We start from the raw sequence: 20,822 nt of genomic DNA, 5'->3' as shown, positions 1-20,822 counted from the left end.
AGTTTGGAGAACAGATAGGAAGGAGGTGAGACTGGAGGCAAGGACACCACAGGGGCTATAGGAACCATCCAAGGATGAGATATGGTAGCAGTAGGATAGAGAGACAAGGCAATGTAAATGCTCAGGGGCTTAAGTCTTAGAGCCTGGTGATGATGAGATGTGTGGGGTGAGAAAGACGGGGGAGAAAAGGGTGACAAGATTTCTGTGCTGGATAACTGGATAAATAGTGGATCCACTGGGATAGGAGGTGGAAAGTAAAGCTGGTTTGGGAGCTCAGTATACAGTTAAGGATCTAGAAATCAAATAGCTTTAGTCTTGAAGCTTTAGGTCCTAAGGCTATATATACATGGAATTCAAGCTATAGTACTGCTAAAGACACCTAAATCTTTAGCTCCCTGCTAAACTCCAGAACCTCCTATCAAGCTGCTTTCTGGATGTGTCTCCTTTATTGTCTCAAAGGCACTTTAAACTCAGAGTAATGTAAAAAGCACACATCATCATTCTCCCAAATCAAGAATATGAATTCAAAGAAATCATAGAGAATCTTTTAAGGAGAATAAGACTGAAAAAAAATCAGTAAATATAGTGTAAACAGATCTTCAGTGAACATAGCAATGGTAATTTCACTGGCTGTGGCATGGAAGTTGAAATGCAGTGGGCTGAAGAGTAAGTGAGAGGTGACAAAATAAAGACAACATGTATGGACAAATCTTTCAAGAAACTCGACTATTAAGAGAAAGAGTCAAAGAGGGAGATGGAATTACTGACGTGGTTTCCAACCTTGGCTGCACATTGGAATCACCTAGGTGAGTTTCAAACACACTGACACCTGGATGCTTCTCTCAGACATTTTGATGTAATGGGTGTGGGGTACTGTTTGGACAATCAGATTTTTAGAACTTCTTGCGTGCCAAAAATTAAGAACCACAGATTAGAAGAAAGATTGTTCCTTTCAACAGTAAGAGACATCTGAAAATATTTTCCTGAGGATAAGAAAGAGACTGTAGTGAAGGAAAGATTGATTCAGAAAAGTGGAACAAACAAATGGAATGAGTTCCTTGAGGGGGTGAAAGGAGACGAGGTCCATGGGAAGGGGAAGGGATTAGGAAGACACCTTTCCCATTCAGACTGGGTTGGAATACAGGTGAAAATTTATTTTAAGGCATGGACAAGAGAAATAGTTGAGGTGGTCATCACCCAACGGCTTCCATTTTCTTTGTTAGTTAAGTAAGGCTCTCTGCTGAGAATAAGAGGAAAAATGGTATTATAGAGAATTTGAGAAGAACAAGTGATTTGAAACAGTCTTTAAAGAAATGCATTTAAGATACCATCACTTCCCACCTGGACTACGATAATCACCTCCAGACCTGGACTACGATAATCACCTCCAGACCTGGACTACGATAACCACCTCCAGACCGGGACCACGATAATCACCTCCAGACCTGGACTACGATAACCACCTCCAGACCGGGACCACGATAATCACCTCCAGACCCGGACCACAATAATCACCTCCAGACCTGGACCGCGAAAATCACCTCCAGACCTGGACCGCGAAAATCACCTCCAGACCTGGACTGCGATAATCACCTCCAGACCGGGACCGCGATAATCACCTCCAGACCGGGTCTGTGATAATCACCTCCAGACTGAGACCGCAATAATCACCTGCAGACCTGGACAGCAATAATCACCTCCAGACCGGGACCGTGATAATCACCTCCAGACCTGGACTGCGAAAATCACCTCCAGAGCTGGATTATGATAATCACCTCCAGAGGGGGATTATGATAATCACCTCCAGACCTGGACTGTGAGTCACCTCCAGACCTGGACTACGATAATGACCTCCAGCTGATCTCCAGGCATCTATTCTGCTTCTCCTTCCAATCCACTGACAAAATGATTTTTCTCAAATATAAATGGCATCGTGACACTGACAAATTCAAAGCCATTCAATGGCTTTCCATCCCTTTTTGGACAAAATTGAAAATCCTTCATATGGATTTTAAAGCCATTCATGATTCCATCCCAACATAATTCTCCAAACTCATTCCCACTACTCTGCTCCTCTCTCTCTATGCTCCACCCATCAGGGCCTTCTCCAAATTCCTAGAAAGTGCGATGCTTTCCAGGTCCAGAGTCTTGGGTGTGTTATATTCCTGGGCCTGAAACCCTCTTCCCCTCTTCACCTGTCCATTCATCAATGCTTTCAGGTCTCATTTTCAACATCTCTTACTCAGGAAAGTCTTTCGTGACTGCCTAGACAAGGTCAGATTCCTGTTACACATTCCCACGATATCCTAAACCGAACCTTATGGCTTTATCACAATGATGATCGAAAACTCACTTATGAAAACATTTGTGTAACATCTACTTCTCCTACGAGTTTGTAAGCTTCATGAGGAAACTGCATCGTTCCTGTGACTACAACATTCCCAGCCCCTCTGGTTAATATCTGTTGAGTGTGGAATGAATAAGAGAGAGGAAGGCAAAAGAGGACTGCTAGAAAGCACTGAAAGGACCGTGGACACCGAAGACCTGGAGTCTACAGCCATGTCATCTGCAAGGCTGTGTGATTTTTACCAGCAGAGATCACCAATCCAGGGCAGAGAAGGTAGGTAGTAGGGTTTTGACAGACACAATTTTTAAAAATGGATAAGAAGACAAGGACATTTACAGGAAATGCCTGAGTTTACTCTTATTAAGACTTAAAACTCATAGGGCAGAAGTTGTGATTTTTCTCTTTACATATCTTTAGGCCTCCACATTGCTTTGCACACAGCACATACTCAGTATATACTTACTGAATAAGTTAATTATCACACATTGAATCTGATAACAACATAGCATTTAGAGTACAAGCTGTGAGTCCACTTTTAAAAACAAACATGTAACACAGTTGTTTTGGTTACTTGATGGACCACAACTTGCTCAATTCGAGTCTAGTTAGCAATTTTAAAGCTAGGTCCCACTCAACTCTGTATTCTAGTTTGTGAACTCCTTTTCAAACACTGCTTGTTTCATGTTATCTGTTCCTTTTGCCTTAAATCTCTCCCTTCATCTGGTTACCGTCATTATTCATCATGTAATTTGTCAGAACTGATTTCATACAGAGTGCATAATCACTTTTTCTTGGTTACTCAGTTCCTTACAAGTGTTTCATCTTCTGCATATTTAATTTAGGGGTAGGAGATAATGCAGGGGAAGTCATCTCTCCTTGATTTAGCCAAGGTTGAAATAAAATCTGGGTATCTTCATAGCACGACTCTGGGAAACACGAGAGAGGGAATCCAACAGAATGGCAGGATTTAAAGTAAATTTTGTAATTTCATTGTATGGAATCTAACTGATTATTTTATTTGAAAAGATCAGCATAAACTATTGAGAAATATATGAAAAGATAAAACATTTTTATGAATTCTAAATTATACGAAATTTAACTACTTATATAATAACGATTTTAAAATTTAAAGTTCATTCAAGAACTCCAGCCTATGGAATCATCAATGGCATCATAAAAAACCTTTCTTCTGCAATGTGGATAACAGCAGAGTCCTTAAGTACCTTTGATCCCATGTACTCCCTTTCTTTCGTTATTTCCTTTTTCATCATGTCTTTCTCAATGGCCCTTTTCTCTTGCTGAGATGCAAGTTCTTTTTCAAGTCGCTCCGCCTGCCTCTCCAGCTCCTTCCTCAACTGGTCACACTGGATTAAAGCCTGCCAGGATAGAACAGATTGAAAGAGGAGGTTAGAATTTGGAAAAAATATAGGTAAAATGACATAATTAAGCTTTAAGTATATTTAAAATAGCAAAAACTCACTATAAAGCCCATTAGAATAATTTTTTATTGTTTATCAATACCACTTATTGACCTAAAAGAGTATCCAAATGTTACATTTATTGACATATTTCAATTTTCATGATTAAAGCCATATTAATTAATCAATGACAAAATTCAGGTAATGAACCTTGATGACGGCCACAGATGAGTCAGAATTTTAAAAAAGGGAACCAGAAACACCAAGTGTTCTAATATTTTCAATTATATATCATGTTTATACTACACGAAATACGTAAGTATCCAATTTAACTGATTTCTTATTTGCTCATGGATAAAAATTATTGGAATACTTCAAATGATAGATCAAAATACTAAAATGAAATGTTGAATATATCATTACACACAGGCATCTTTTGTTTAATACTATATAATAATCAAGTTTCCTTAAATATAACTAAGAGAAAATTTAGTTCACTCCCCTTAAACATACAACTGAAGTAAAAATTATGTAATAATCGTAAGTTAAATGGAAAGACTCAAGACAGTATTCACTACTTAGTTTTATAAGGATCTTCCACTTCTGGTAAAGTTCATGATTGTCCTTTACTGTAAATTTCCCACTCTGCATTTCCAGAAATAAAAAATCTCTAACTTCATTTTGGCCACTTTTACAATATCTTTATTTATAACACCCAATAATGAAATATGACTTCAAAAATCCCAATTTGGGGAGGTCTTTTTTTGTATAAATATATGGGGTACAAATGTAATTTAGTTACATACACAGATTGCATAGTAAAATCCCAATTTTTAAAAATCCTAATAAAAGTAAGGTACTATAGTATCTTATAGTCTTATTCCAGTGGCCCTTATGTACAATATCCACCTCACACAACCTCTCTTTTCCCCTGAAATGGTAGAAAGAACCCCAGGTCTCATGTGACTTACATGCTGTATGATTAGAAATTTCATAGTCACATTTGATTTTAATGGAGATGGAAATGGCCTTAGTAAGCACTGTAAGTTTTATGCATAGTTATGCTTCCCTCTGGTGAAAGCTATAATAAATACAGACAATAAATATCTAGGATATGTGAATTTTCCTCTCTTCATCTGGAAAGCATTAAACTCCAGTTTCTTTTGGTCTCTTCTGAAAAGTTTCTATGCTCCCAGGCATAAAATATAAAGGTAAAATTCAGTTGTCTCAGATTAACTAATAAACAAATACAATGAGTAAAAAGTGATTCTTCTAGGGAATTAGTCCCAAGTCAAAATTCCAGCCGAGAATGCCTGGAAAAGGAAATTTTAAATTAGATATTAAAATAAATGAAAAGGCATACTTTTTCTATAATTTAAGCCCTTGGAGCTTGAAATATGAATGAGTTACTTTTGTGATTCAAAATGTAATTGCTCTTGTGAAAAATATTTCACATGAATTGAGTAAATGTTCATAACTCTCCCTGATATCATGAATGCTACTGGTATGAATAGACAAAACGCTTACTTAATATAAACCAATATATCCAATCAGAAAGTTTTCAACTGAACAAAAACTCAGGAGTCATCATCATTAAGTATAGGAACAGCAGAAGAGACTGAAGATCTAAAACCAGGCTACCATGAAAGGCACCTACAGAATCAATTCAAAGAACTCAGTCAACTAAAGAACAAGCAACAGTAAATAATCCTGGCAGGATAAGAGGTGTAATGCCAAGATAGGATGATACAGTGAAAAGCACAAAGTGAGAAGCTGTAAAATCATGTAAACAAAACCACTGCTGAGGCCTTGGTTTTGTGGATGGTCTTCTCTCTATTAGGAATGGCCACCACCAATGGCTGATGATGAGTAATGGGCAACAAAACACTGAATAAAAATATTAGGTTAAAAACTGGTTATTGGCTGGGCGTGGTGGCTCACGCCTGTAATCCCAGCACTTTGGAAGGCTGAGGCGGGTGGATTGCTTGAGGTCAGGAGGTTGAGACCAGCCAGGCCAACATGGTGAAACCCCGTCCTACTAAAATATGAAAATTAGCTGAGCCAGGTGGTGCGTGCCTGTAATCCCAGCTACTAGGGAGGCTGAGGCAGGAGAATCGCTTAAACCCAGGAGGCGGAGGTTGCAGTGAGCCAAGATGGTGCCACTGCACTCCAGCCTGGGCAACAGAGTGTGACTCCGTCCCCAAAAAACACACAAAACAAACAAACAAACAAAAAACTGGTTACTGATGTCTCTTAGCGTGTAACCAACAATTCCATATTATCAAATAGCTTCTAAGGCCGGGCACAGTGGCTCATGTCTTTAATCCCAGCACTTTGGGAGGCTGAGGCAGGCGGATCACGAGGTCAGGAGATCGAGACCATCCTGGCTAACACGGTGAAACTCTGTCTCTACTAAAAACACAAAAAATTAGCCGGGTGTGGCGGCGGGCACCTGTAGTCCCAGCTACTCAGGAGGCTGAGGCAGGAGAATGGCGTGAACCCGGGAGGCGGAGCTTGCAGTGAGCTGAGATCGCACCACTGCACTACAGCCTGGGCGACAGAGCGAGACTCCATCTCAAAAACAAACAAACAAAACAAACAAACAAACAAAAATAGCTTTTACTTTTATTTGCTTTGATTTTAACGTATATGTCCGGTCACAGTGAAGAAAACAGAAAAGCGTAGTAACACTTGGAATCAGAAAAATGATTTATTCTTTCTAAAGATAACTCTCTCACACTGGACCGCACATACTAAAAGATTTGGGTCTAGTAAACAATTATTTATACACTATCTCCATTAAAGCTCTCTCTTAATTCTAGAGTTTCTTCTCCTAGTTTCAGAATCCCTGTCGATTGAGTACCCCTATAACCATTCAGTAAAGACATAATAACTGACTTCTCAAAGGCTAGGTCAGTAAACAATCAACTATCATCAAATGATTATAATTTTAATTTCTACAAAATTATAAATTATAATTTTAATTTCTACAAAATTATAAATTATAATTTTAATTTCTACAAAATTATAATTATAATTTTAATTTCTACAAAATTATAAATTATAATTTTAACTTCTATAAAATTATAAATTTCTATAAAATTATAAATTATAATTTTAATTTCTATAAAATTATAATTATAATTTTAATTTCTATAAAATTATAATTATAATTTTAATTTCTATAAAATTATAAATTATAATTTTAATTTCTATAAAATTATAAATTATAATTTTATAGTAACTGAATGCTATAAACAGGCAATTACCATTAAATGATAGATCTTTATAGGTGACAAAGTTAATTTGGGGCCTGCGGCTGTTATTTCTCTCAGTAGTTCCCAAGTCCTGGCTTCTCTCCCTTTCCCTGAACACGGCCCTTTCCTTGGTGGAAATGGCTGTAGGTCTTGAGAAGTTGGGGAATTATACATTCCCCCCACCCAGCAGACTCATTCCTGAAGGTACCTTTTCTTTTCTGGGAAATTTCTTTAGCTGTGGTCATTCTGTGTTGACATATTAACACTTTTTTTCAAACACAGTTTATTGGACTTGATATTCCCAGTCCTGGTTTTATTAAGCCAAAGGGTAGGCACTACTATCTTAGGCAGTCAAAATATTTTCGAAAACAAAATTTATATCTAGTCAACTAAAATTTTAAAACAGGAAACCTATTGTAGATCATATAAAAGTCCTTCCCAACTGCTAGGGTTAGTTTTCAAGAAATCTTTGTGACAGAATAATTCATAACTAAGGAATTAAGATCTTATGAAAAATATACAGCTCACACCTTTGAACATAAACTTTAAAGCTTACAAACATTTTTATTTTTATGAATAAAGCCCACAAAATTAAAAAGATTAACACATTTCAAACATCTAACTTATGAATAATGCAAACTATTGATTTTAATTTATAAACCCTTGCTAACCAGAAATTTATCAGTCTATCCCTATGTACCATTTTTCAAGATATTTACACTTCTTTTGGGACAGATAATGTGCAAATCAAGAAGCGTTATTTTCTATCCTTGTGACTATAACCAAATAGTCAATGCTTTTCTGATTTTATTTTTAATCCAGGTTTCTAATTCCTGCCTTTCTGACTCCCTGTAATCCAAGAAACAGAATAATTTGGATATTTGAAAAGGGAGAAAAAGTCTTTGTAAATATTTGTTCAACCTACCAGGCTGCTGTTTTAAAAACTAATCTTCAGAATATCACATGTAACCCATAAATATGTACAATTATTATGTATACATAATAATTAACTTTTTTAAAAAGTTCACACCACTTACCCACAAAGATATATGGCAGGATAGGTCTTAGCAAATTGGAAATACATACTTTGTTCAAGTTGTTATGAGTAAAAAAGAAAATTTTTTTTTTCCTTAGAGGGTTATATCATTACAGATATGCTTATGGTAACTTCATGCCACAGCCTGTGCCTTCAGGCCTTTACACATACCTCTCAACAATTTCCCTTCCAACACAAGCAGGCAGGCCTAAGGCCTGGTTAACCTTTTCATCTGCTTCGTGTAGCTTTTTATCAAGGTGTGACTGCACAAGCCTCTACTTTTTCTCTCCATTTAGTCCCAGGTGAATTCTTTTCCTCTTTTAAAATTATCACCAATTGAAATAACTTCCATTTTCAAACAAAAATATTTATTGAGCACCTACTAGGTGCCAGATACTTTGCTAAGTGGTATACATGGATTATTTAACCCTCTCAATACATTTTAATTGGTTCTTATCACTCAATTGAAGAAACTGGTACTTTGAGACATTCAGTAACTTGCCCAAATCAGAGACCTAGAAAGTGGTGAGAGTAGGGAGTTTATCCAAGGTAGTTCCACACAAGAATGTTTGCATGGCATTATATACTTCTCAAGTTATATATTTATTTTCTTATAAAATCCTCAGGCATTTTCACTGCCACAAAGAATGTAAATATATAATTCCTTCTATTTAGCATGTGATACCCAAATGCCACACTAGATGGCAACAAACGTCAAGGAACTAAACCAAGTAACCATTTCATCACTCAGTAATATAAGTAGTTGGGTTTTAAATTAAAATATGTATACCACCTGGCTTTTTAATGCACTTAGAAAGCAAAAATTCTAGTGTGTTTCAACATACCTTCTAGATAAAAAGTACTAGACTTGCAATACATTTTGTCCTTGCATTCATTATTACTAATTTACTGAAAATGCTATAGATTCCTAATGAACAATAGTGTTGCTTGCTCTCAGTTATTAAATTTTTTAAAAAATTAATTACAAATTTCACATTAATAATAATTGACTTCCACTGAACAAACATTTATTGTTAATTAAGACGTAAATGGTCATGTGTGAAATACAATGATAGATGTCACAGACCTGATTTCAAGGTCTTCTGGTGGAGAAAACTGTGTAAACAACTACCAAAATTATACACCACATCAACAGGAATACAGAGGAAAAAGAAGTTAATTCAAACAAGAAGGGGCTGGGGAAAACTTCAGGAAGACTGCCACTTGAGTTGAGCCTCATAGATTGAACAGATACTTCATAGATTATTACAAGGCAGAAAAATACAGCATGTGCAAATCAATGAAAATGGCCAACTGCAGGTCATGTTCTGGAAACAGTGAAGGTGACATGAAAGAGTAGAGTGAAAGAGAAGACTAGCAAAGTTAGAATGGGGCCAGATTTGTCTTTTATTCTACTGCAAGAGGGGAGCTACCTAAACAGGGAGATTTATAACTCAGGAACTATAAATGTTATGAGAGCACTGTGAAAAGTATGCTGGAATTAGATGAAATTTGAGGGAAACCAATTAGAAAGCTATTGTAATTGTCTGCATACTTGGTATAAGAATACGTGAAGTATACCACTGGACACGGTGGCTCACACCTGTAATCCCAGCACTTTGCGGGGCTAAGGAGGGAGAATCAGCTGAGCTCAGGAGTGCAAGGCTGTAGTGAGATATGACCGCACCACTGAGCCTGGGTGACAGAGTGAGGCCCTGTCTCTGAAAAAAAAAAAAAAAAAAAAAGCATGTGAAGATGTGAAGCCTTGAACCAGGGCAGTGGTATAAGAATGAAAAGGTAGGCATAGTTAAATAGAAATTTGACTCTGAAGAGAGAGAGAAAGACCTTGGGAACTGATGGAATGTCAAGAGCAAGCATAGGGAAGAACCGAGATGTTTTAAAGAATGCAAGCCAGGACTGCGGTGAAGATGGTGATGCCTTTGTTTGAAGACGATCATAGAGAAAATGGTAGAAAGAAAAGGAGTGGTAGATGGGAAGGCGGAGCCAATGAACGGTTTGGTTGTGTAGAGTTTCAGACGCCAGCAGTGTATCATCCATAAAAAAAGATCTAGTAGCAGCAAAACACGTAGGGCTGGGGCTCAGGAGAGCAGTTAAAGCTAAAGGCATAATGTGGGTGTATTCACTGGTAATATTTGGCCACGTGAGGAGAAATGAATCCCAGGAAGTCAAGGCAACATGGGAGGAGGGCTGGGAACTAACTCTGAGGAACGTCCACACTTAAGACTTGTGGAAACCAAGAAACAAGTTAAAAGAGACTTAAGAGTAGACAAGAATGGTACAATGTGGACCCATGAGAGTAACATATCAGCTAAATCAAGGGAAAGAGATGGTATGTTATGATAGGCCAGTTAACAGGGTTCCAAATCTATAGAGTTTAAGTCCAATGAGGATTGAGATGAGGTCACTGGGTTTGGTAATCAGGAAGTGACCAGTGATCATGAAGCGAGCACTTCAGTAACATAAAATCAGGCTACAGTTTGTTCAAAGCCTGGCTGCGATGCACTCAGAAGTGAAAGGAAAGCTACCAGGGTGGACAACTGTTGTGAGATGTCTGCCAGTGAAATGAGGAATGGACGGTAATAAACGAAGTGAAAGATGATCACAGGAAAGCTGCTTTTTGTTTACTTAAACAAAGGCTGTGGGCAGGATGAGGGGGAAAAACAGTGGAGAGAAAAGGATAAAGGATGCAAGAAAAATGTGATGACATAGAAGTGGGAGACATCAAAAACGGGGAGAAAGATGTTCATCTTGGGAAATAAGAGGGCCAGAAAAGAAAGGAGAAATAAGGAGAGGAGACATTCGAGGGATGAGAAGATGCTGAGGAGGCTCTTGTCAGTTGGTCCTAATCTTAGTAAAGTGAGAAGTAGGTCATCCGAAGAAAGTGACGTGCCAGCAGTGGAGTTGGAAAAGTGAGGAAAGTGGAGTTCCTGACTAGAGTATATAAGGTCTTCAACTGCAGAGAAAAGAATTGTTCAACAGTACCTACAACCACTGAAGGTGACTAGTATTACTCTTCAGTGGAACTCATTAAGTGGCTTTTTTTTTTTTTTAAGATGGAGTCTCACTCTGCTGCCAGGCTGGAGTGCAGTGGCGTGATCTCAGCTCACTGCAACCTCTGCCTCCCGGGTTCAAGCAATTCTCCTGCCTCAGCCTCCCGAGTAGCTGGGACTACAGGCGCACACCACCATGCCCAGTTAATTTTTGTATTTTTAGTAGAGACGGGGTCTCACCACATTGGCCAGGATGGTCTCAATCTCTTGACCTCGTGATCTGCCTGCCTCAGCCTCCCAAAGTGCTGAGATTACAGGCGTGAGCCACTGCGCCCGGCTATTAAGTGGCTTTGTTAAATGACTTCCTTTAGCAATGCTTGGGAGGCTTGAACTAGCTATTAAAAAAAAAAAAAAGTGTGATTGGGCCTAATTTTCACTGGGTACTTTTGCTGGCAAAGTAGGTAAGCTGGAAAGATAAGAATAAAGGCACTGTAGAGTGCTAGTGAGAACTGAGTTGCAATTTCCTTCCTCAGTGGATATTTACTGAGTACCTATTTATTATGTGTTGAGATCTACGCAAGATGCTACGGATTTAACAGTGATCAGGGTGGAGAAATTCCGTAACACCAGAGATTTTGTAACCAAGGGACTAGTGCAGACTGATTAACCATTGTTTAAGTTGTTACAGATAGCACTGAGCCAAAATTGCAAGTCATGTAGTCCAGGCATGTGCAATGGGAAAAAGCTTTAACCTCCTAATTGTTTTTACTTTATTTTTAATTTTTGTTGAGTACATAGTAGATGCATATATTTCTGGGGTACATGAGAGGTTTAACCTCCTCATTGTGATTACCACCACCCTGGCAGACTGGCTGCACTGGTATCACCTGGGGCTACTTAGAAACACCTCTGAAACCAATCTTCCTGATCTTGCCGCAGAACGAGGAGACAGATTTGAGTGTGGCCTCTTGCCTCCTTGCCAGTCAACTTGCAATAAAGCCTTTTCTTTTCTTAAAAGCCAGTGCCGTAGCATTGGCTTCTATGTGCATAGGGAAGCAAGCCCTTGGCTTGGTGACAATTTTAAAGTTTAACAGAGATTTCTCAAAGAACTTAATATAGAGCTACCATTCAACACAGCAATCCCATTCCTGGGTATATACCCCAAGGGATATATATCATTATACCAAAAAGATACATCAACTCAAATGTTCATCACTGCATTATTCACAATAGCAAAGACATAGAGGCCGGGCATGGTGGCTCACGCCAGTAATCCCGGCACTTTGGGAGGCGGAGGCGGGTGGATCACTTGAGGTCAGGAGTTCAATACCAGCCTGGCCAACATGGCAAAACGCTGTCTTTACTAAAAACACAAAAATTAGCCAGGCGTGATGGTGCACACCTGTAATCCCAGCTACTCGGGAGGCTGAGACAGAAGAATCACTTGAATCTGGAGGCGGAGGTTACAGTGAACCAAGATCACACCACTGCACTCCAGCTTGGGCAACAGAACAAGATTCTATCTCAAAAAAAAAGACATGGAATCAACTTAGGTGCCCATAAATGGCAGATTGGATAAAGAAAATGTGGTACATATACACCAGGGAATGTATACATCCATAAAAAAGAATGAAATCATGTGCTTTGCAGCAACATAGATGTAGCTGGAAGACATAATCCTAAGCAAAGTAATGCAGTAACAGGAAACCAAACACCATATGCTCTCATTTATAAATGGGAGCTAAACATTGTGTACACATGGACATAAGCGTGGCAGCAACAGACACTGCAGACAACTTGGGGGAGGAGAGAGGGGGGCATGGGCTGGAAAAGTACCTATGGGGCACTATGCTCAATACCTGGGTCCACCATATGTAACAATCCTACACATGTACCCCTCTTTCAAAACTAAAAGCTGAAATATTTTTTTAAAAGTTTAATGAAGGATACAGACAAACAAGCAATAATAATACATTTTGATAAATGCTATATAAGTAGTGGTTCTCAAATGGAGGTAAATGTGCCCACCAGAGGACATTTGGCAATGTATGGAGACATCTTCAGTTGTCACAACTTGGGGGAGGAGGGTAAGCTACTAGCATTGAGTAGGTAGAGGCTTCTAAACATCCTACAATGTGCAGAACAGCATCCAAAGCAAAGAGTTACATAGCCCAAAATGTCAATAGCACCAAGGTTGAAAAACCCTGCTATAAAGGCATATAAAGGGTACATCGAATCTAGACAGAAGAGATAAGAGGTTTCCTAGAGGGAGTACCATGTAGGCTAAGATAAGTAAGGCTAAAGTAATATACAGGCAGTGGAGCAGAGAAGAATGCACATGGCACATACAAAGACTCAGAGGCTGGAGAGAGGATGGGATAATCAGCAGGGTTATCACCACCACCGCTATTTATTGAGAAATATTTTGTGCCTGCCTGGGTTTGTATAAGATAACCAATATACATTTTAAAATGCAGTCCTCATTCACAATCCTAGGAGTCACATATTTCTCCATTTTACAGATGAGGAAAAACTGGGGCACAGAGAAGTTAAAGTAACTCGTCCAAGGTCACACAGCCAGTGAATGGTGGGGCCAGAAGTTGAATCTAAGTCTGGCTAACTCTAGTAAGCCCATGTTCACCCCCTAAGCCCTCCTGCCTTTGACGATAGCTGAGTGTACTGGGAGACAGGGCGCGAGAGGAGGAAAAAAGCAGCAGCCTTGGAGGGCAAAAGGGAGCCACATTAGGACAGACCACGGGCATGGGAAAGAATGTGGAGACTGTCTTGAAGGCAGTGAAAATTCACCGAAGAATTTTAAATCAGAGTCACATGATCAAATGTGTCTTTAAGAAAGATCGCTTCTGGCTGCAGTGTAGGGAGTGGAACGAAGGAGGGAGGCAAGCTAGGAAGAAGTGTAATAGATAAATCCAGAGATTACTTAGCTTCCATAAGAAAAGTGTTAATGAGGGAAAGAATTCAAGAAAACGTTAGAAACTCAGATCTGTACTTAGTGACTGGTTAAAAGTTAGGGGTGAAGGACAGGGTGAAATCCAGTTTTCTGATCAGAGCATGTTAGTGAGTAAAAGTGCCATCCAGTAAGAGAATACAGAAGGGGCAGCAGATTTGGGAGAGTGAATGTGTGAGTTCAATTTGAGATGGTAAAATTTATGTTTAAATGGGAAGAAAAGAAGACCAGCCTGGACACAACAGATAAAATGAGAGATAAAAAGAAAGAATGCTGAAGAACTAGAGGTGAAAATGAAGACATGGAGTAGATTTAACTTTGATAGGGAGGAAAGAAGAGCAAAGGCCCTAGTCAGAGAGTGTGGTTTCAGAGAGATCTTAGGGGCATTTCAGTTCATGCAGGATGTTAGCGTAGAAGTAGGGGATATAGTAGAGTTAAGGAAGCTGAAGAGTATTAGTGTTTTGTGTATCAGCAACATGGAAATTCAAACATTTAAGGATGATGAAAGAGATAGAATGAAGAGGAAAAGGATCAGATGTTAAAACTTTTAAAAAGGGGCCAGGCGCGGTGGCTCACGCCTGTAATCCCAGCACTTTGGGAGGCCAAGATGGGTGCATCACCTGAGCTCAGGAGTTTGAGACCAGCCTGGCCAACATTGTGAAACCCTGTCTCTACTAAAAAAACAAAATTAGCCAGGCATGGTGGCGCATGCCTGTAATCCCAGCTACTTGGGAGGCTGAGGTGGGAGAATCACTTGATTCCAGGAAGCTGAGGTTACAGTGAGCTGAGATTGCGCCATTGCACTCCAGCCTGGGCAACAAGAATGAAACTCTGTCTCAAAAAAATGATAATAAAAATAAAAATAAAATAGAAAGGGTCAAAGAGAGCCTTCTCAATTGAGAGATTTTATTGATTAGGGAGGAGAGAGACAACACTGATTTCAAAGAGGAGTGTGATATGGTTTGGATACCTGTCCTCTCCAAATCTCTCATGTTGAAATGTGACTTCCAGTGTTGGAGGTGGGGCCTGGTGGGAGGTGTTTGGGTCATGGGGGTGGATCCCTCATGAATGGCTTGGTGCCCTATTAGTTATCCTGAGGTCTGATTGTTAGAAAGGGCCTGGCCCCTCTCCTCCTCGCTCAGTCCTGCTCCCTTGTGAGGCTTGCTCCCCTCTGCCTGCTGTCAGAGTGAAATCTTCCTGAGGCCTTACCAGAAGCATATGTTGGCACCATGCTTCGTATGCAGCCTGCACAACATGAGCCAAAATAAACCACTTACTTCTCTTTATAAATTACCAATCTCTGCTCTTTCTTTATAGCAATGCAAAACAGATTAACACAGAGCGGTAGCTTAATTTCAAAGAGGAATAGGACCTGAGAGTAAGTGCCAAAACAAAGCCCTGGAAATGGCAGTCAGGAGTGAAGTAACTGCGGTTTCCTCCATCACACCCACCTGAGACGACTTGACTGACACAAGGGCCTTCACTGAAGGTTTTGAAACATGGCATTGAGGGACAGCTAGAGCTCACAACAAATGAAGAAACAGGAGAGTCTGAGGAAACAGTATGTTGGGGAGTTTGGTCATAACTGAACCTAAGTTTCAAAAGGCATGAGGGTCAAACGGGAAGAGTTATGGATGAACTGGATAAAGACAAATGGACATAGCAATGGCTGACAAGAGGCTTAATGCAGAATTGAATAGCCCTAATTTTTTTTTAACTTTTATTTTAGGTTCGGGGGTACATGTGAAGGTTTGTTACATAGGCAAACTCATGTCACGGGGTTTTGTTATACAGATTATTTTATCACCCAGGTATTAAGCCCAGTACCCAATAGTGATCTCTTCTGCTCCTCTCCCTGCTCCCACCCTATATCCTCAAGGAGATGCCACTGTCTGTGGTTTCCTACTTTGTGCTCATAAGTTCTTATCATTTAGCTCCCACTTATACGTAAGAATATGCAGTATTTGGCTTTCTGTTCCTGCGTTAGTTTGCTAAGGATAACTGTCTCCGGCTCCATGCATGTTCCTGCAAAAGATCGGATCTCATTCTTTTTATGGCTGCATACTATTCCATGGTGTCCATGTTCCACATTTTCTTTATACAATCTGTCAGTGATGAACATTTAGATTGATTCCGTCAATTTCGGTTGATTCCATCAATTCCATCGTTTACGTTTGCTATTGTGAAGGGTGCTGCAATGACAATTCACATGCATGTGTCTTTGCAGCAGAATGATTTATATTCCTCTGGGCATATACTCAGTAATGTAGCCCTAATATTTTAATAAAACACTGAGATTCATATATGGTTTAGACCAGTGCTATCCAACAAAACTTTTCATGATAATGAAAATGCTCTATATCTGCACTGTCCAATATTTGCTACACGTGGCCATTAAGAACTTGAATTGTATGCTAGTGTGTCTAGGGAAAATACATGCAACTTTAACGGATTACGGTGTGGCCCCCAAATACAGTAATGAATCAACAGTAACCTCCTATTCTTCAAAGTGCCTATAACACCGTCCGATCACTAAGTATAAACTGTTATTCTCATTAAGTATGTTTGAGTTACCTTACAGTAAGTCCAGACTCAAAGATGCTACTAAGACCGGGCGCAGTGGCTCACGCCTGTAATCTCAGCACTTTGGGAGGACGAGATGGGCAGATCACCTGAGGTCATGAGTTCCAGACCAGCCTGGCTAACATGGTGAAACACCATCTCTGCTAAAAATACAAAAATTAGCTGGGCATGATGGCCCGTGTCTGTAATCCCAGCTACTTGGGAGGCTGAGGCAGGAGAATCACTTGAACCCAGGAGGAAGAGGTTGCTGTGAGCCGAAATCGTGCCATTGCACTCCAGCCTGGGCGACAGGGCAAGACTCTGTCTCAAAAAAAAAAAAAAAAAAATGCTACTAAATATGTATATATTATTGTCTTTGGTATATTTGGATTTTCTCAAAACTTCCCAATTATTGAGGAAAAACATTTGTCTTTAGTCATATACGAACACATACAAACTAATGCCTGGGTGTTAAGATTTTTGCAGCATTGCAAATTATCAGCAAATAAAAAGATTAAGCATATAGGTCTCTCAAAGTATTATACTGTACTACATTCTCTGAACAGTGATACAACAACAGTATTTGCAGAGCAGTAAGAATTCTCCAAATAGCAAATTTGTTTAATTCAGAAAAGTCAACATTAACAGATTGATAATTCACTTTGTGTGTTTGAAAAACAAAGTTTAGTTATAGAAGAATAACCAAATAAATACTCAGAAGAAAAAAGAAAAAAAAAAGAAAGACACTTTTATTTGCATCTTATTAGACTTGCCTTGGTTTTTTCAAAATTGGCTTCCTCAGATATTTGCAAAACTTGTTTCACCTGTTCATAAGCACTTGCTTCTCTTTGCTGCGTATCTGCCAAGCTGCTCCTTACGGAAACTAGTGCAGACATCAAGTCATCTCTTTCTCTGTCAGCACAAAAAGAACATTCAAAACAAGAAATGATCAAACGATCCTGTCCTCATAAGTCAGGGAGAGAAAAGCATTAATATGTATTAGAAGAGCCAGGGTAGGCCGGCTGAGCACATATGAAATAAAGCACACCCCAGAGAAAGACCCTCTGTCCTCACTTGGCGAGCGGCGGGCGGAGCAGCCAGAAAGGCTAAGAGCCTTCGTGGCAGGACGGCATCTGTGCGGGACAATCATCTATTGTGGAGAGGGCTGCAGGGGAAAGCCCAGAGAAGAGCAAATTAGTTTTTTAAAAGTGGGGGGAGGTGCTGAAAAGGAAAAATGCAGCAAAGTAGGGAAGGTACGAATTGTAAATCAAGGTAGCAGTCAACATTTTAAGGAAGGACTGAGGCTTTGTCCATGCAGCAGATTCTCCTCTCATTTACTTGAACAAATATATGTCCTTTCCTTTTTATCTTTCTCCACAATCCTCTTTTTTGCACTTCTCTTTCAATTACATTCTTTCAGTTACTTATGAACACTTGTTGTTGCTCAATGATTAGTACTGTTGAACTCCTCCAATCTCCTGGCTATGCATATAACATTCACAATTTAACACAATCTTATCCCACTGGGTTTGATCATTGCCAAGACCCACCCTTCTTCAGCAATTCTCAGAAGTACTCTATCCTAAGCTGTTTATTGGGAGTAGAAGTGAACCAAATGCCAAAATGCTCTGGCATGTAAAATAGCAAGGATACAATCTCATTGATTAAATAAGTCCCATATAAAATATTCTAGGATATTTGCAATTTATCAACTGAATAAAAATATCCAGTAGACAAAGAGAAAGTGAGGCAGGAAACTTTCAAGACATAAAAAGCAAAAAATGTATGCTGGACTGTTACATATGGTGTTCCCTGTTTTGTTAAAGAGTTGAAGACTAAACCACGGTTTCAAATTCATTTGAAATAAATGCTTGCAGTTTCCTTTTCATTGCCAAGGTCTAAACTATGAGAAAAGGGCCAACTATGATTTTTTTTTAATTAGCAAGTTTTAAAGAGTCATAGTGTAGAGGATTATAAACTCTGCTTGAATTACTTTCAGAATTAACCAATGATTCAATTTAAAACATCTCTTAAAGGTAAAATAAACTATTTGTGGTATTTGGAAAGCAGCCACATTTGAAGAAACATGTAATACTGAACAAAGTTACAATTATTAGCAGTTTCATAAAAGCCCTTTTTGTTTAAAAAAGAATAAGTTGCTGCAAATATAAAATTCATGGAAGCAGAGTGATCTTCACTTTAGAATTTCCTGATTTGTTTTAAATTGATAAAAATAATTTTTCTTCCAAGGAAATGAAAAAAGAAGTAAATTGTTTTAATCGAATATAATCAAACACAATTACTATGTAAAAAAGTGGAAGAATCAAGGCAAGATTAAATTATCCTAGTTAAGTAAAAAAATAAACACCAGCAAAATTGAATATGTGTCTATTTGCATTTCCATAAAAGTTCTATAACGTAAAAGGGGTCTAGCTTTATCAAGGATATGCAATCCAGTTAGGATCTATGATTCTAAAAGAAAAGAAAAATTCACTCTTTAAGGACAGCAAGTCAATATAGGCATCTTACAGTCACCTTTCTTAAATCACTAAGACTTAATGAAGAGCAAAAGTAACTATTCAATGAGATTCTTATCTGTTCCTGATACCATGCAGTCACCAAAGCCAAAGTTCCAAGGAAAAAGAATGAACAAAAAAGGCCAGGCGCAGTGGCTCACGCCTGTAATTCCAACACTTTGGGAGGCCGAGGTGGGCGGATCACTTGAGGTCAGGAGTTCCAGACCAGCCTGACCAACATGCTGAAACTCTGTCTCTATTAAAAATACAAAAATTAGCTGGGTGTGGTAGTGCGCACCTGTAGTCCCAGCTACTTGGGAGGCTGAGGCACAAGAATTGCTTGAACCTGGGAGGTGGAAGTTGCAGTGAGCTGAGATCGTGCCACTGCACTCTAGCCTAGGTGACAGAGCAAGACTCCATCTCAAAAAAGAATGATCAAAAAAGCTCAGTGTTTATAAGTATGCAAACAGACAGATCCACAACAGGATAAAAATCTAACAAACTTGCTGCTTATGGGAAACTTACGTTTAATAGACTTTATCTATTTTCAGAATATCCTCTTGTCAAGAGTAGTGTTTGTCACACAGTAGATGCTCAACAGAATAAACAACAAGAAAACAAATAAATGAATAAAGAGTCTGCTATAGGATGGTGTCAAAAGAGGTGAGGTAAAGCTCCCTCTCAGTTCTAATATTTCATGATCTAAACTGAAAACATTACCTATTTTGAATTAGAAACTAGAGTTCAGTCGTTCTGGTTCAAAAGTGTTTCAGAATATTAACTCACCAAATTTAGACTATGGAACCACAGAAAATTATCAAAGATAAAACTCCAATATACAGATGTCTTGTTAGGCCCATCATTCAACAGTGAGACCACAAAACGATTACACTCAAACTCCACGTAACCACTGGGCTGACACACTCCTCCTTTCTGTAAGGCAAATGCAACGCATGCTTCAAGGTAGCTTTGAGCCCACCTGGGAAGCTTGCAGGTAGGTAGTCATTTTGGCAATTTAGGATTATCTACTCATTCACTCAGGTGTTACTAAATCTTGGTTTTGGTTTGGTTTTGTTTTGACTCAGCCAGTCCACATAACAAATAGCAGCAAGCAACCCCACAAATAATTTTTTTAGAAAGAGCTCTGGGCTGGCAGTCCCCTCTCCTCAACACAAGGCCTTGCTTCCTACTCCATTCCTGTGGCCATCTGGCTTCATCTTGTCTGAGCTTTCATTTTTTAGCCCACTTATCCCCTGGGACTAACAGTGCTACTTATATAATCTGCCTTTCAGAAACAGCCGATTCCAGCCACCCAGGGTAACTGCCCAGTTAGCTACAGTCCTGCTCTAGATCCCGCAATCCACAGGTCCAGCCCAGAGCCACACCTGAATGAGGCTCTCACAATGGGAAGCTGTACAGACACATGTGGCATATCAATGTGAGAGTGAAAGGGCAGTTCTCCAAATTACCATCCTCCATGGCAAATGTTCTATGAGTGCTTGGAAACACCATGTGAATGTGTTGATGAATGTAATCAAGGAGCTTCTTGACGCAAAGCCAGCAACACTGTGTTAACCCTGCAACATTCCATGATCCAGATGAAAGAGCAGCTGAGGCAGAAAGATGACGTAAAGATCATGAGTGTTCTGGGGTGAAAAGCATGTACTTACACGCACTAATGAGCATGTAATATTTAAGAAACTTAGCGCA

The 20,822-nt window shown here is 39.2% G+C and overlaps 1 protein-coding gene across 6 annotated transcripts in view, besides 1 other annotated feature; it reads right to left on the bottom strand.

The window, feature by feature from the left end:
- The window catches only part of SDCCAG8 (SHH signaling and ciliogenesis regulator SDCCAG8), a 244,051-nt gene that overhangs the window by 165,829 nt on the left and 57,400 nt on the right, over positions 1 to 20,822 (bottom strand). For all 6 annotated transcript variants that reach the window (NM_001350249.2, NM_001350251.2, NM_001350248.2 and 3 more), the window contains 2 exons: positions 17,370 to 17,508; positions 3,571 to 3,723 (listed from right to left, as the gene is read on the bottom strand). In NM_001350249.2, coding sequence (NP_001337178.1) covers positions 3,571 to 3,723; positions 17,370 to 17,508 — 292 coding nt within the window. The remainder of the gene's footprint in view (positions 1 to 3,570; positions 3,724 to 17,369; positions 17,509 to 20,822) is intronic.
- Positions 17,602 to 17,896: a silencer, noted in NCBI's record as "tiled region #8354; K562 Repressive non-DNase unmatched - State 16:ElonW". NCBI's record gives its function as "represses a minimal TATA promoter and a strong SV40 promoter by Sharpr-MPRA in K562 cells {active_cell/tissue: K562}" and the evidence as "EXISTENCE:reporter gene assay evidence [ECO:0000049][PMID:27701403]".

The sequence above is a fragment of the Homo sapiens genome, chromosome 1 (genome assembly GCF_000001405.40).
Source record: "Homo sapiens chromosome 1, GRCh38.p14 Primary Assembly".
Lineage (NCBI taxonomy): Eukaryota > Metazoa > Chordata > Mammalia > Primates > Hominidae > Homo > Homo sapiens.
Note: the sequence above shows the minus strand (reverse complement) of the source record. Positions and strands in the feature narration are given on the sequence as shown.